The following is a 16,132-nucleotide window of genomic DNA, read 5'->3' as shown; positions in this document are numbered from 1 at the left end:
CTTTCAGTATTTCTTAATTGAAGCTGTCTGGTGTACTGTAAGAGGAATCTGTCTCAAAAGCTATGCATTTTCAAAATGCCCCTTTGTTTGGTGTCTCAAAATTTTCACACCTTGGGGTAATGCACTATAGTCATATGTATGATAAATGAAAGGCATGCTTTTCTTGTGTCAAGTGGGAGAAGGATGATTATGAAAGGGAAAAGCAGATTAATTTTAGAAGACAATATAAGTAAGGAAGCTGTGGGTCTGGAAAATAATTCACTTAAAATTATCCATACCCTATACCTCCTACAAATTCCTAAGTAAACCCAGGTGTATGGATACCCCAGTTTGAAGACCGTTGCTTTAGTCTGCCTCCATTCATTCATAGATACAGAAACTAAAGCCCAGGGCAGTGGCCCATCCAAGACTAGAACCTGTCTTCCAACTTGCAGATTAATGGGTTTCAACTCTACCAAACTGCCTTTTATTGTGTCCTTGAATAAATCTTTTCACTTCTTTGAGGATTTTTTCATCTACAAAATGAGAGGGGTGGAGTAGATCATCTTCACGCTGGATACCTTACCTTTATTTCTCCAGATGTACTCTCCAGTCTTCTCCACCCTGCTCTGGGCACTAGAAGTAGATATGTTTAAACTGTATCAATGGGCTCCCTCCCCCTGTGGCTTCTGATTGGGTTCAGTCAATGGGAGGCCCTGGCAAGAGCTCAGAAGGCAGAAAGGAAGTAAAATTAGACGATTTATTTACCTGCTCCAGCTGCTTGGTTGCTGTGGGTTGCTTGCATCCTGCCCCTGAAAGCCATGAATACTGTCCAGTATTCTTTTCATTCAGCTAATCTCTCTGAGTTCCAGTAACTTCTCCCTCCCCTCTGTCGTTCAGGCATAGGAGTGACAACACTTTCCCAGAAAATTCCATCCCGCTGGATCCACCCTGAATCCTCCACCACCTACTGCCCCACCATTTCCCTGTTGGGATTGAATCTTGTCTCTAGGAAGGGAAAGGGCCAGGGGCAACTCAATGTTCTCCATTTCCTTCCTTAATCCCATTAAAGTGTTCTGAAAGGAAAAGTAAATGATGTCACTCTAAACATATTTTTAAAATCTGGGCCCAGTTAAAAATCAAAATAAGTAAAATAAACAAAAAAAGTTTAAGTGAAAAAGGCTTTTTTATGTTTTTAATTTTTTATTTTGAAAAATTTTAGAAGTTGCAGAGCAATACAGAGATCCCATATACCTGTTGTCCAGCTTCCTCTAATATTAACATCCTCCCTAACCACCATACAATGATCAAAACCAGGAAGTTAGTATTGAGATAATTCTATTAACTAATCTGCAGACCTCATCCAAATGTTACAGTTGTCCCCTAATGTCCTAACTGGTCTAAGGTCCAACTGTCATGTCTCCTTAGTCTTCTCCAATCTGTGACAGTTTCTCAATCTGTCTTTCACTACCTTGACACTTTTGAAGAGTACTAATCAATTATTTTGTAGAAAGTCTCTCAATGTACACTTGTCTGATGTTTCCTTATGATGAGATTGAGGTTATGCATTTTGGGCAAGACTATCACAGAAGTGATGTTGTGCCCTTCTCGGTGCATCATGTTAAGAATCCCTGACGTCAATATGGCATTACTGGTGAAGTTAACTTTGGTCACTTGATTCTGTGGTAGTTGACAGGTTTCATCTCTATAAGGCTACTGCTTTTCCCTTTGTAACTAAAAGTATCTTATGGGGAGATACTTTGAGATCATGCAAATGCCCTGTTTCTTAACACAACTTCTCTCAGTACTATTAGTGTATATTGATTCCTGTCTTTGCTAATGGTGACTTTCCATTTCCATCCTGCCTTCTATATTTATTTATTTATTTTTATTTTTATTTTATTTTATTTTTTTTTTTGAGACAGAGTCTCGCTCTGTTGCCCAGGCTGGAGTGCAGTGGGTGATCTCAGCTCACTGCAAGCTCCGCCTCCTGGTTCACGCCTTTCTCCTGCCTCAGCCTCCCGAGTAGCTGGGACTACAGGCGCCCGCCACCACGCCCAGCTAATTTTTTGTATTTTTTTTAGTAGAGACGGGGTTTCACCGTGTTAGCCAGGATGTTCTATTCCTTCTATATTTATTAAAGAAGAGCTGGCCCTTCGCTTCATTAATTTATTTACTTATTCATTTACTTGTTTATATCAGTATGGACTCAGGAACATTTATTGTGTTTTATGGGTTATAATCCATTACTATGATTATCCATTCTTTAGCATACCTTGTCCCAAATTTCACTGGGACCTCCTTCGATATGGCTCCTGTGTCATTTTCACATACTCCATCATTTTTTAGTACTTCCTTAGTTTCTGGCACCACAAAACGTTCAGGCTCATCTTATATATTTCCTGGAATTGATTATTTCTCTAAAGAACACTTTACTTATTTGCTCAATCCTAATACATACATAAAGTAGTCTCAGAGTTGCTAACCCATGCCTCTGTCTGTGGAAACAAATTTACCAACTAGAGTATATATTTTTGTACAGTTCTTTATGTCTTTAGCTTTATATTGTACGGTCAAAATACTGTTTTCCAAACTTAGTTGGTTCTTCCCCAACTCTTTAAGTATGGTTATGATATTCATTTGTAGTACAGTTAGATCCACTTGTTACCCTTTGCATTCTAATTGGGCTCCTCCCATATCCTGTAGATTTTAATTATTTGGACAGGGTAGGGGGCACTTTGTGGTTCATTCCCTGGTTCTAAGAGTCAGAGATATACAAGAAGTTTATCTAGTCCATGTCACCCCACAACCACTACCCCATTCCACTTCTTCTTTCCATCTCATTCTCAAACTCTGAATAACCAAATCTCACTGCACCTATTTTTGTAAACAGTTATTTTCCATAAGTGAGCAGATACATGCATATTTTATCTCCCCTTTTATTCTTCCATGAAAGGTAGTACACTATCGATATTCTCTCTCTCTTTTGAGGTTCAGTTTGCATAAGATAAAATTAACCATTTTGAAGTGTACAATTCAGGCTGGGCATGGTGGCTCATGTCTATAATCCCAGCACTTTGGGAAGCCAAGGCAGGCAAATCACTTGAGGCCAGGAGTTCGAGACCAGCTTGGACAACATGGTGAAACCCTGTCTTTACTAAAAATACAAAAAATTAGCCAGCCATAGTGGCACGCACCTGTAGTTCCAGCTACTTGGAAGGCTGAGACACAAGAATCGCTTAAAACCAGGAGGCGGAGGTTGCAGTGAACCGAGATTGCACTACTGCACTCCAGCCTGGGTAACAGAGGGAGACTCCGTCTCAAAAAAATAAATAAATAAAATAATAAAGTGCATAATTTGGTAGCATTTAGCACATTCACAATGTTCTCCAACCACCATGTCTCTCTAGTTCCACAAAATTTTCTCAAAAATGTCTCAAAAGAATCCCCCATATTCATCAAGTAGTTACTCCTCATTTCTCCCTACCTATAGCCCTGGCGATGACTAGTCTGTTTTCTGTCTCTATGGATTCACCTATCTGGGTAATTTCATATAGATGGAATCATAATAATATGTGACCTTTTTATATTTGGTTTCTTTCATTTAACATAATGTTTCCAAGGTTCATTCACATTATAGCATGTGTAAGTACTTCATTCCTTTTTATGGCTGAATAATATTCCACTGAATGGATATACTACATTTTGTTTATCTTTCTATCAGCTGATGGACATTTGGGCTGTTTCCACCTTCTGGCTATTGTGAATAGTGCTGTTATGAACATTATATATGCATCTTTGAATATCTGTCTTCAATATTTTGGGGTATATACCTAGGAGTAGAATTGCTGGGGTCATAGGATAATTCTATTTAACTTTCTGAGGAGCCACCAAACCATTTTCCACAGTAACTGTACCATTTTACAATTTTACCAGCAATGTACAGGATTCCAGTTTCTCCACATTCTCACTAAGACTTGTTATTTTCTGTTTCGTTTGTTTGTTTATAGCCATCCTAGTGGGTGGATGTGGTATCGCATTGTCATTTTGATTTGCATTTACCTAATGATTAATAATGTTGAGCATCTTTTCACATGTTTATTGACATAGGTTTTATTTTATACTTTTTCCACCCATCAGTATACCCTGGAAATCACTCCATATCAATTCGTAAACATCTTTCTTGTTCCCTTTTGCAGCTGCACAGTACTACACTTTATGGATGTGCTATAGTTTATTCAACCACTCTCCTGTGTAGGGGCATTTAGATTTTTTCCAGCATTTTTCAGTTACAAACAATGCTGCAGTTAATAAGTTGGTGCAAATGCATTTTTTTATTATTGGAAGTGTGCGTTAGGTGGATTCCTGGAAACTGAATTGCTGGGTCAAAAGGTAAATTCATATGTAATTTTGTTAGTTATTAATGAAGTTAGCAAGGAACAATCCTGGCTGTCTTACTCTAACAACAAATGTAAAAACAAACTCTTTCTACAAGGGCTTGGAGAAGGGAAGCCCAAGAAATACAACCACCTGGTTTTTCACTTTGAGGAAATGGAAACGTGTATACAACTTACCTTTTACTTTCGTCTTCTTATAACAAGATGATGCTATGCTAAGGAAAGTAGCCCTGTCAGCACGCAAACAGATCTTATGTTCCTAAAGGCAGGATTAGATGGTCTGATAGAATGCCATGAGCTCTAGTAGAAGCTGAGTCCTATGAGTATCCTTTACACAACTCATTGTTATGTTTCTAATTTAATCTAATTATGTACCTGTGAGAAAAAACAGGATGAGCAAGAACACAAGTCATCTCCAAACTACTAGGTATGGGAAGAGGAAGTATACTCGATTCTCAATTTACTTCCATTTTTCTCTCACAGAAATATTAAAACATATCAGAATGTGCTCTGAGATACCACCTTAACAGTGGATCTGAACATCCGTAGCTCTTATATACTATTACTCTGCTGTTGGAATGTAGTCAGTCAAATTCCACTAAAGGACCTTTATAATTTAATCATCACCAAAACCCTCCTATCCTAGAAGGGCATTCAAGGTCAAGAACCCTGAGGCATCTTATAAGCCGCAAGAATGATATTGCCACCACCTAGACCATCATCAAAGAACATTTACTGTGTCCATCCTTTCATTATTATTGCTTACTGCTATCTTAAGGAGTGTTCAATGCATTTATCACTCACCATGTGAGTGCCCAGTCCAATGCCTATAACGTAATGATATTATGGAGTAGTCAACAGGAGGTAGAAGGAATCAATTTATTTCTGCCTCTATCCATTCAAATATTATATTGCTATTTAACGTGCAGTAGTCTAGTCTAAATCTCCTTGAGGTCAGCAAAAAAAAAGAAGAAAGAAAAGAAAAGAGATGAGAGGCCGTGTTTCAGATGGATTGGCTACAAGAGGCCACTCACATCCCCACTCTAAGTTTCTGATTTAAGTAGCTAAGGATACAGAAACTCAGAAGAGAGGTAACCACACAGAATGCAGATGAAGCATTCCACGGTGCAGACAGAATGCAAAGTTGATACTCAGAGGTCCCTGAATAACGCCTGTCTTTAGCTTTCCAGAATGCTGTAAAACCCACACCGCCAGAGGAAAAATGCTGAGATTAAAAAAAATTATTCAATAAATATCACTTGTATTGCCGGGTGTGGTGGCTCACACTTGTAATCCTAGTACTTTGGGAGGCCAAAGCGGGCAGATCATCTGAGGTCAGGAGTTTGACACCAGCCGGGCCAACATGGTGAAACCCCCATCTCCACTAAAAATACAAAAATTAGCCAGGTGTGGTTGTGGGTGACTATAATGCCAGCTACTTGGGAGGCTGAGGTAGGAGAAGCGCTTGAACCTGGGAGGCGGAGGTTGCAGTGAGCAGAATTCGTGTCGTTGTACTCCAGCCTGGGCGACAAGAGAGAAACTCCATCTCAAAAAAATAAATAAATAAATAAACCCACCATTTATACTAAAAAGATGGGCTAAACATCTGGATAAAAAATACATCCTCATTTATTCATTTCACAAACATTTATTAAGTGCCTACTAATGGCAGATACTTTGCTGGGCATTGGATATAAAGTAATTAACAAAATACTCATGGAACTGGTCCTCATGACATTGGCATTCTCATATGAGAAATAGTGGAAACACTTCTAGGCTGTTTTTAAATTTTCATTCAATAAATATTTCTTGAAGTAGCCACTATTCAAGGCACTTTGCTTTCATCAGTGAACAACAGACAGCTCCCTGCCCTTGTGGAACTCCCATTCTAGTAGGGAGAAAAAGACAATAAACACAACAAATGTGTCAATTACAAGGTATATACAAAGGAGAATGGTGTGGAGAAAGAGCACAAGTGAAGCCGGGTAAGGGCATCAAGAGTGCTGTGAGGAGGGAGGTGTGCAGGGCACTACGAAGTTTTAGGTAGAGTCATCAGCTCATTGAGAAGATACCTGAGCAAAAGCTTGAAAGAGGTGAAGGAGACAGTGCCTCAGATACCTGGAGGAAGAACATTCCAGGCAGGTAGAGGCTACTGAGGCTGGGGACATGCCTATGTGTTTGAGGAAACAAAGGAGACAAATGCAGCTAGAGATGAGTCCACAGGTGAAAGTAATAGGAAATGAGACCAAGGAGGAAATGAGAGCAGGTCATGGAAGACCTTAGCTGCCATTGAAGGACGTAGGCTTTTATTCTGAGAAGAGCAGGGAGTGAATGAGGGGTTTTGAGCAGAGGAGTGACATGGCTTGTCACTCCTCTGTGACAAGAGGAGAGACATGGCTTGACTTGGCTTGTCTTTTAATAAGATTTTTCTGCCTTTGTGTTACAACAGACTGCAGGGAGCAAGTGCAGACACCGGGAGACCTGTGGGAAGCTGCTGGAGTGACCCCGGAAAACCACGATGCGGGTTCTGAAGAGGCAGGGGCAGTGGAGATAGCTCCCTATCTCTGCGATAGTGAGATGACAGATTCTGAGTATATGTTCAAGGTGGAACCAATACAATTTGCTGAAAGATTGGATTGCAGTGTGAGAGAAAGAGAGGAGCTGAAGATGACTTCAAGGTTCTAGACCTTTTGGAAGGAAGGAATGTTCAACAGAGATGGGAAAGGTTACAGATGGAGCACATTTGTGGGAAAAGGCCAGGAGTTCCATTTTGGGCATGTTGGGTTTGAGATGTTTATGGAAATATTAAGGTAAGTCTGGAGTTGGGTGAAAGATCTGAGCTGGAGGTATGAATTTGGAAGTGGCATCAAGTCTGATTTTTATTTCATTTATTTAATATGATTACATATTAAAATATAGATGTTACTTTTTAAAATATAAAATTATATGGAGCAAAAACTGAAGTTTTTTTCTTCCCCCCTTACTCCAAACCTACTACTCTCCCCAGCAGTAACCACTATTAAGGAGCTGTTATATGTTAAAGGACTGAAAAGATGTCTGAAGAATGCTCAATATACCATATTAGAAAACCAGAACCAGCCGGGCGTGGTGGCTCACGCCTGTAATCCCAGCACTCTGGGAGGCCGAGGCAGGCGGATCACGAGGTCAGGAGATCGAGACCATCCTGGCTAACACAGTGAAACCCCGTCTCTACTAAACATACAAAAAATTAGCCGGGCGTGGTGGCGGGCGCCTGTGGTCCCAGCTGCTTGGGAGGCTGAGGCAAGAGAATGGCGTGAACCTGGGAGGCGGAGCTTGCAGTGAGCCGAGATTGCACCACTGCACTCCAGGCCGGGCAACAGAGGGAGACTCTGTCTCAAAAAAAAAAAGGAAAAAAAGAAAACCAGAACCAACATGGGTTTTTCATTTCCACGTGCATTTTACTACACGAGAAAAGGTATTTTAGAATTGCCCACATATTTATGCATAGCATTTTTCTATTTACCTATATGTTGCCTTTACCCATACAGTAACATAATTTCCACTACCTTCTACAATCACAGTGGTAAAGTAACAGAATTTCACAGCTGTTTGGAATAAACAATATTCTTGAATTCATGTGCCTTTTCTTGTAAAATTAAGCTGATTTTTAATTGATTCTATGTGAAATTTTTTTTCTTTAGCAATCTGGAATGTATTTGAGATGAATAATACCATTCATTTTTAAAAAGTCATCAATTATAGAGTACAGGATACACATTCAGCACCATAATCATAATACTCTAGACTCTAAGCTTTCATCTCTAAAATAGAACAAAGTTTCCATACCTTCCATTAGAAAAAGATAACCTTCAAAATTTGAACTAGTGCATTTCTGTTTTGTTGAGTTAGCAATTACTCTATGCTAGGAAAGTAATGATGACTCCTCAAATATCCAGTCTCTTATGAGCTTAGAGCTTCAGCTGTAATAAAACGCAATAGTCTTTCTAGTCTGAGGAGTTCACTATATCTCCCCTGAAATCAAAGATAATAAATTAATTGAAGAGGTTTTCCATCCTCTTTGGTTTGATTTTTGGCACAGTTCTATGTCCAATGACATACACAGAAACCTCTGCACACCTGGAGTGCCACATGATTTACCCCAAACAGTGTTTGTTATGCAGCTGTTGGATCCATTGTTGCAAGCAGTAAATAGGAAAAAAAGAAAAAAAACAAGAAAGAGTAGGACATGAGTTCTCAAGAAGATCACCATCCAACTGGGCAAGTAAAAATTTACCTGTAGGAAAACATGATCACTATAATTGGTTCTGAAACTAACCAAACCAGTGTATTCTGCTGTGGAAAAAAAAAATGAGGACTGTTCTCTACGTTTTACTCTGAATTTTTCTTGAACTTTTAGCACTGTTTGCTATCTTTTTTCTAGAGAAATCCAGCACATAGCAACATAAGTTCCAGAAAGAAGTATTAACAGGAAAACTGACCACTAACCACAGGCTAATCATTCTTTTTTTTTTTTTTTTTTTTTTTTTTTTTTTTTGACGGAGTCTTGATGTGTCACCCAGGCTGGAGTGCAGTGGCACGATCTCAGCTCACTGCACCCTCCGCCTCCTGGATTCAAGCGATTCTCCTGCCTCAGCCTCCTCAGTAGCTGGGACTACAGGCATGTGCCACCATGCCTGGCTAATTTTTTTGTATTTTTAGTAGAGACGGGGTTTCACCACATTGACCAGGCTGGTATCGATCACCTGACCTTGTGATCTGCCTGCCTCAGCCTCCCCAAGTGCTGGGATTACAGGCGTGAGCCACTGTGCCTGGGCCAGACTAATCATACTTAATTCAGCAACTTTATTTTTTTATGGGCACATGGGCTCCCACTTGAAACTTGAGTTTGCATCCATTTTTGCTGGTAGAATGTTTTTATTTGCAGGATAAAATAAAACACATCAAAAGTTCATGGCATGTCATCAAGAACAGCATACCTGAACAAATTTGAGAATCATGTTCCATAATCTTTGTTCTTCATGAGCAAACAGACTCAAAGGACAAAGGAAGTGTCATATGATACTTCTCTTTCCTCCTCCTCCTCCTCTTGCCTCCTCCTTTTCCTCCTCCTCCTTCTCCTCCTCCTCTCGCCTACCCCTGCTCTTCTTCCCCTCCCTGCAGTGGTAGCTATCCCCTGGGCTCTCTCCCACCATCCTTCCTCTGCATTCCACCCACCCACCCACCCACCATCCCAGTTTATCCCAGAACAACCAAAATAACCTTCAAATTGATTCCCCTTCTATAGTCCCTACCCACTCCAATTCATCACACACTCTTCCCAGAGACTCACATTTCTGCAGCTCGGATTTTTTCGAACCCTTTCCCCATCAAAAACATTGATTGATTGCCCACTTAGTAATGTCCCAAAGTCTTAGGTTCAGAATCAAATCCTCCAAAATACAACGTCTGGTCTTTGGTTAATATTTGAATACATGTGTTATCTACACACAATTTATGTTCAACTAATCACTCAGAAGAAATTTGACAAGAGACTTCTCATGTCAGTGGAGACATGTCAAATCAGTTTAAAATGAATGTGGGGCTTTCTAAATAGCTGCTTCTCAAGTAGAAGGTGGTATTGGCTACGTAAACTTGTTGTTGTTACTATTTCCTGTTTCCTTAAGGAACAAAGAGATTTATTTTGACATCTATAGGTGAATATCAGGATTCCAAGTGGAAATGATTCCTTGTTCTTTTCTATGAATTGCCCTGTCATTGGAGGTTTACTGGAATCAAAGACAAATGTGCTACTCTGGACTGTTGAAAATCAGAGTGGTCAAAATCACATAACTTGATGTTTACTGTCAAGGGAAAATATGGCTGGTATAGTTATTTCATAGAGCCCTGAAATTGCCTAAGGGTCTATCATATCGTTTGCTATTAATTATAGGGTTAAAATATTTTCCACAAAAGTCTAGCAAGATTAACTTTATGCCAAATGATACCACCCCTCTAGTGTGGCAGGACAGAGTGCCACTGTCTTCTTTATATGTTGTTTTCCTTTTTATTTTTTAATAATCATATTTTACTTTTAGAATCTGGAAAAAAATTTCTAAAGAAACTTTAAAGTTCGATTTAAAAAGTGATATGAGCCTTCAACTTTGCAATCCGGTGTTTGTTGGATATTTTAAAATAAGCTTTAGTGGCTTGTCTCCTCTAAGCAGGGCTATTTCGACAAGGCCTCTTTCAGTACCTGTTAGAAATCACCACCAGATTCAGAGCTCAACAATGGGAGTTTGTTCATTCAATCTGATCATTATTGACTAATTTGCATTTAGAATGCTGTCTCCAACCATTAATTAGTCATTCCTCAAAACAACCCAATGGGAGAGAGGAACATAATTATCCCTGTTTAGAAATGAAACCAACCAACAGTGCGTTCAGTGCCCCACAGAGGCAGATCCCCTAGCTATGCAGTCATGGCTGCTGGGAATATGCCAGCTGTCAGGGCCACCACACAACCAATAGGAGATGCAAGAGTGAGAATTTTACAAAATACCTCCGATGTTCCTATTTCATAAGCATTTGGGTTTAGATTTGCTGAGATTCGTCTTGCAAACCTTTATAAACATAACATCAGATCTATCAGACCACTTTTCATGGCAACACAACATAAGATGTGCAACATTGTATATATGCTTTTTAAATGTTCACAAATTCCCTCAAATAACCAACAGAATTATAATAGTGAAGGTAAGGAATAATCAAACAGCAAATACATACTAAATATTCATTATTCACAGGGCTCCATACTGGAATTATGAACAGGGATGGGGGCAAGAAATTAAAAAGATACCTACAGCCCTGGCTTTGCTCTAATCTAAGGTACCTAGAATTTGATAAAGAATCCAGCGAAATGCATATAAAACTTACTGTTTTAGAAAAATTTAATTATATGTAATCTTAATTTTAGAATAAGCATTTTTTTCTATATCTTTCTCCACAAAAATACATTTTCTTTAAGTTAAGGTGCAAGGGTGCACAAGTTACTTTAGAAGGTTGGAAAAGTCCCAGGAATTGGCCCTGAAATTATTTATTTTATTACTTAAAGAACGCTGGTGAATTCTCTCTTTTAAGAAAGAAAATATGGGGCTGGGCGCGATGGCTCACGCCTATAATTCCAGCACTTTGGGAGGCTGAGGAGGGCGAATCACCAGGTCAGGAGTTCAAGACCAGCCTGACCAATATGGTGAAACTCCCTCTCTACCAAAAATACAAAAATTAGCCAGGTGTGGTGGGACACGCCTGTAGTCCCAGCTACTCGGGAGGCTAAGGCAGGAGAATTGCATGAACCCAGGAGGCAGAGGTTGCAGTGAGCCAAGATTGTGCCATTGCACTCCAGCCTAAGCGACAGAGTGAGACTGTGTCTCAAAAAAAGAAAGAAAGAAAGAAGAGAGAGAGAGAGAGGGAGGGAGGGAGGGAGGGAAGGAAGGAAGGAAGGAAGGAACGAAGGAAGGAACGAAGGAAGGAAGGAAGGAAGGAAGGAAGGAAGGAAGGAAGGAAGGAAGGAAGGAAGGAAGGAAAAGAAAAGAAAGAAACTATGCGCCGGGTGTGGTGGGCTCACACCTGTAATCCCAGCACTTTGAGAGGCCGAGGCAGGCATATCACCTGAGGTCGGGGGTTCAAGACCAGACTGACCAACATGGAGAAACCCTGTCTCTACTAAAAATACAAAATTAGCTGGGCATGGTGGCGCATGCCTGTAATCCCAGCTACTCAGGAGGCTGAGGCAGGAGAATCGCTTGAACCCGGGAGGCGGAGGTTGCAGTGCACCGTGATCGGCACCATTGCACTCCAGCCTGGGCAAGAAGAGCAAAGCTCCATCTCAAAAAAAAAAAGAAAAAATTTCCTAGCTGACCATGGAAGGATAACAAATGTGATGAATCTGGCCGGGTGCGTTGCCTCACGCCTGTAATCCCAGCATTTTGGAAGGCCGAGGCAGGCAGATCACTTGAGGTAAGGAGCTCGAGATCAGCCTGGCCAACATGGTGAAGCCTCATCTCTACCAAAAATATAAAAAATTAGCCGGTGTGATGGTGTGCACCTGTAATCCCAGCTACTTGGGAGGCTGAGGGAGGAAAATCGCTTGAACCCGGGAGGTGAGGTTGCAGTGAGCCAAGATCGTGCCACTGCACTCCAGCCTGGGCGACAGAGCGAGACTCCATCTTAAAAGAAAAAAAATGTGATGAATCCATGTGTTATTATTTCCCACTACACTAAGCCATCAATATATCATGATTCTCTATGTGTTCTTCTAACACACAAACACACACCACACACACACTAACACATAATCGTTGCTTTTAATTGAAGAACATTTTCAACACCTCTCAAGTGGCAAAAATCCTGTTTATATTCTTGTCTGCCCCAGTTTATGGCTTCATAAGAATTTTTTCATCTGTTTTTTGAGGCAGAGTCTCGCTCTGTCGCCCAGGCTGGAGTGCAGTGGTGTGATCTCAGCTCACTGCAACCTCCGCCTCCTGGGTTCCAGTGATTCTCCAGCCTTAACCTCCCAAGTAGGTGGGATTGCAGGAGCCCACCGCCAGACCCAGCTAATTTTTGTATTTTTAGTAGAGACAGCGTTTCACCATGTTGGCCAGGCTGGTCTCGAACTCCTGACCTCAGGTGATCTGCCTGCCTCAGCCTCCCAAAGTGCTAGGATTACAGGTGTGGGCCACCGCGTTCCAGCCCAGTTTTAAGAATTTAATCTTCATTTCAAGCACAAAAAGACTTTTTTTTTTTTTTTTTGGCTGGTGGGGCCTCTTTTTTGAACTCTTTAGGGCCAAATCAACCTTTCTTCCTTGATCCCAGGGTGGAGTCAAATGAATCTAACAGACAAACGGCCCAACATCCTTCATGTCACTGCCAACTTCTCATTCAAAGGGGTACTTGGGGTGGCAGGTGGAGTTATAATTATAGCTTAGAAAAAAGCAGCATCAGCAGCTGTTGCTTCTGTTTGTTCCCAGCTATAACTGTCATCAGTGGCTAAACTGGCATAAACAGGCCTCTACAAGTGGAAAAACATTTAACCCCTGTTCTTGTCACACTCTGGGTCCTCTCAGTGGCCAGAGAACAGAAAGAAAATCTGACTGTGCACGAGCGAAGGGTGACACCGGGCGTGCAGCACCGACCTGAAGGCACCTCTTCGGGGGAGCCCGAAATTTGAAGATTCTCTTTCCTGTCGGAGACTACAAACCAAATAAATAGGTTAGTGCCCAGAGTAAACCTATGCATTTTAATTCTGACCTCTACTTGCTGTGATTTTCATTTTCCTGGCAGAGCTTGAAAAGAAGAGTGAACTACTAAATGAAAGAAAGGAAAGTTAATTAAGGACTGTTATTTAAAACTACCGGGAGTCCATGAGAACAAATTATGAAATGGGTTTAATTTATTATGCTCCTCTCCCAATTTTGGCTGTATTCGCACTAGGCAAATAGACAAGGTAAAGATGGAAAAATAAAACCGGTTTTGTGGCATGAGTCCCATCCTTTTGTAATGCCACTTACTTGTGCCAAAAGGCCCTACCTTCTTTATTAAAATCAGTAATGTTGAAAGCTAAGTTTGTGATTTTAGAAAATGCTGTAAACGTAGCTCCAGAGTTTCATTTCCTTAGGGAAAATAGGCAAATCAGAGTTGAATTGTTTTTCCAGCAATGAGTAAAGATAGAAAATTTTCTTGTTTATGATAAAATGTGTGGTGTAGGCTACTTTACAAAAGAAATCTGCTACAGAATTTATTTTTTGTGTCTAGTACAATTCTATCTAAAAGCTTCATGATTTCAGTCTAAGTAGCTCTATAAGACTCTCCTCATAGATCCTTTTGAGAAAAGTAAGATTTTAAATAAATCTCATTTTATTTGCATATGTTCTATCTTAGCCAGAAATTGAGCAAGATTTTCAAAGATTAGCTTTGCGCTGTCTGTTTCAAAACCTGAATATTTAATGTCTTGGTGAAAAGTGGTGGAATTCCAAAGAACTCACCAAAAACAAGGCTTTTGGGCCCAGTGCTCATCCTAACCACATTCATGAAATGGACTCAAGTAGAAAGAGTTGTAAATAATGACCTCATTTTGTTCAACTCCAAAGAGAATGTGAACCATCCCTAAGCATTTATGTACAACTTGTCATGGGGAAACTGCACCATTCTTATTTATCACTATGACCCAACTTTTTGGCTGACTTTTGAAATGCAATGAGTGCTAACGATGCATTTGGACCTCCACTAGAGAGACATCTACATGCAATCAAACCCACCAAAAGTGCCCCATCAATTAAATTCTCACGAGGGCCTTGTTTGTCTCATTTGTTCATTCAAATATATATTGGCCAATGGCTATATAATCTAAAAATAATATTTAACAGTTAAGGCAAGTTTAAGATGTCTAATATTACTCTTCCCAGAGACTGCTTTCCTCCTGCTTTCTGCTAAACTGAGATAATGGTTATCTGAAAGTTCCGAATTATAGAAACTAAGAAAGACAAAACAGAGATATGGCTGACTAGTTGCTGGCTTGAATTTCCTTGATATACAGACATACAGATTTATGCCCTATTTTAAACATTGCTTTTTACTTGTGTTTTGTCTTCTTGCTCTTCTAGAAAAAACTATCCAAGATGACTGTCACTTACTCCAGTAAAGTAGCAAATGCAACTTTTTTTGGATTTCATAGGTTACTCCTCAAGTGGAGAGGCAGCATCTACAAACTACTGTACAGGGAATTTATTGTTTTTGCTGTTCTTTATACAGCAATAAGTTTGGTATACAGGTACTTTTCTTTACATGTCTCCTTAAATGGCCATCAGATATTGTGTAAGATACAGTCTCAAAAATCTGAACCTTTTGATTGCCACTGACTTCGCATTATGGAACTCCTTTTTTGCGTGAGCCTCTCATTTGTCTTCTTCCCCTCAGGACAGATTTTAATCCACCACTAACCATTGTTAGGTTGTAAAATAGACCCTCACTGTTAAGATTCAGGTGGCCTTCATTCCAGCCCCAGTTGTGCCTCGAGACTGTTGCAATAGGCACAAAATGGAAGGATTATCCTTAGATCTTTACTGTGTAAAGACTTTTGAATGGGCAAAGTCCACAGACAATAATTATTTGTGCTTCTGTCAACTTGTCATTCATAGTTGATGATTTGACAGCTTGTAGCAACTACCTATATAATCAACATGTTCATGATTGGTGTATGTCAGGGAAAAGCTTTCCTTCTTTTGGCCTGGAATGAAAATATCTTATCCAGGATGATGCCTGCCACACTTAACAGTACCTCAACTAAAGCAAAGGCCTGTAGAATAATTTATTTTCTTTCCGTTTTCTGAGTTGAGGGTATATTATGTTCACAAAAGGAGGTGCTTATTCTTTATAACATTACAACATATGCCTGTCAGATTGACAGGAAATTTGAGCAATATCAAGTCCAAGAAATATTTTTATGATGAAAAGTTATAGTCTTAATAAAATTTCATCAGTATGATAAAAGGGAAGACTTATGAGATTTTAAAGCTTTTTTTATTAAAATTGAATGCATAAATTTCTTCTCTGGAGGAAGCTAAAATTTAAAACAGGAAAGCTAAAGGTTTTTGAGGCTGTATTTCCATTTTTTCTATGTTCATAGTTTGTTATTTTTCTTCTGCATACAGATAAACAAATTTGTGTTTCATTGCTCTCACATTCTTCCTTGCAGCAACAGGATCTCCTTTGGAAAAGAG

The 16,132-nt window shown here is 39.9% G+C and overlaps 1 protein-coding gene across 13 annotated transcripts in view; it reads left to right on the top strand.

The window, feature by feature from the left end:
- Nucleotides 1-13,526: 13,526 nt before the first annotated feature.
- BEST3 (bestrophin 3) overlaps nt 13,527-16,132 on the top strand; it is a 55,796-nt gene continuing 53,190 nt past the window's right edge. For 6 of the 13 annotated variants that reach the window (XM_047428378.1, NM_001282613.2, XM_047428376.1 and 3 more), the window contains exon 1: nt 13,527-13,625. Coding sequence is in view for 5 of the 13 variants with exons in the window: in NM_001282614.2 (NP_001269543.1) it covers nt 15,032-15,183 (152 nt within the window). In the remaining 8 variants the exon portion in view is untranslated. Of the gene's footprint in view, nt 13,626-15,016; nt 15,184-16,132 lie in introns of those variants that run through there. The other 7 variants (NM_001282614.2, NM_032735.3, XM_047428380.1 and 4 more) reach the window with 3 other exon arrangements.

The sequence above is a fragment of the Homo sapiens genome, chromosome 12 (genome assembly GCF_000001405.40).
Source record: "Homo sapiens chromosome 12, GRCh38.p14 Primary Assembly".
NCBI classification, from domain to species: Eukaryota; Metazoa; Chordata; class Mammalia; order Primates; family Hominidae; genus Homo; species Homo sapiens.
Note: the sequence above shows the minus strand (reverse complement) of the source record. Positions and strands in the feature narration are given on the sequence as shown.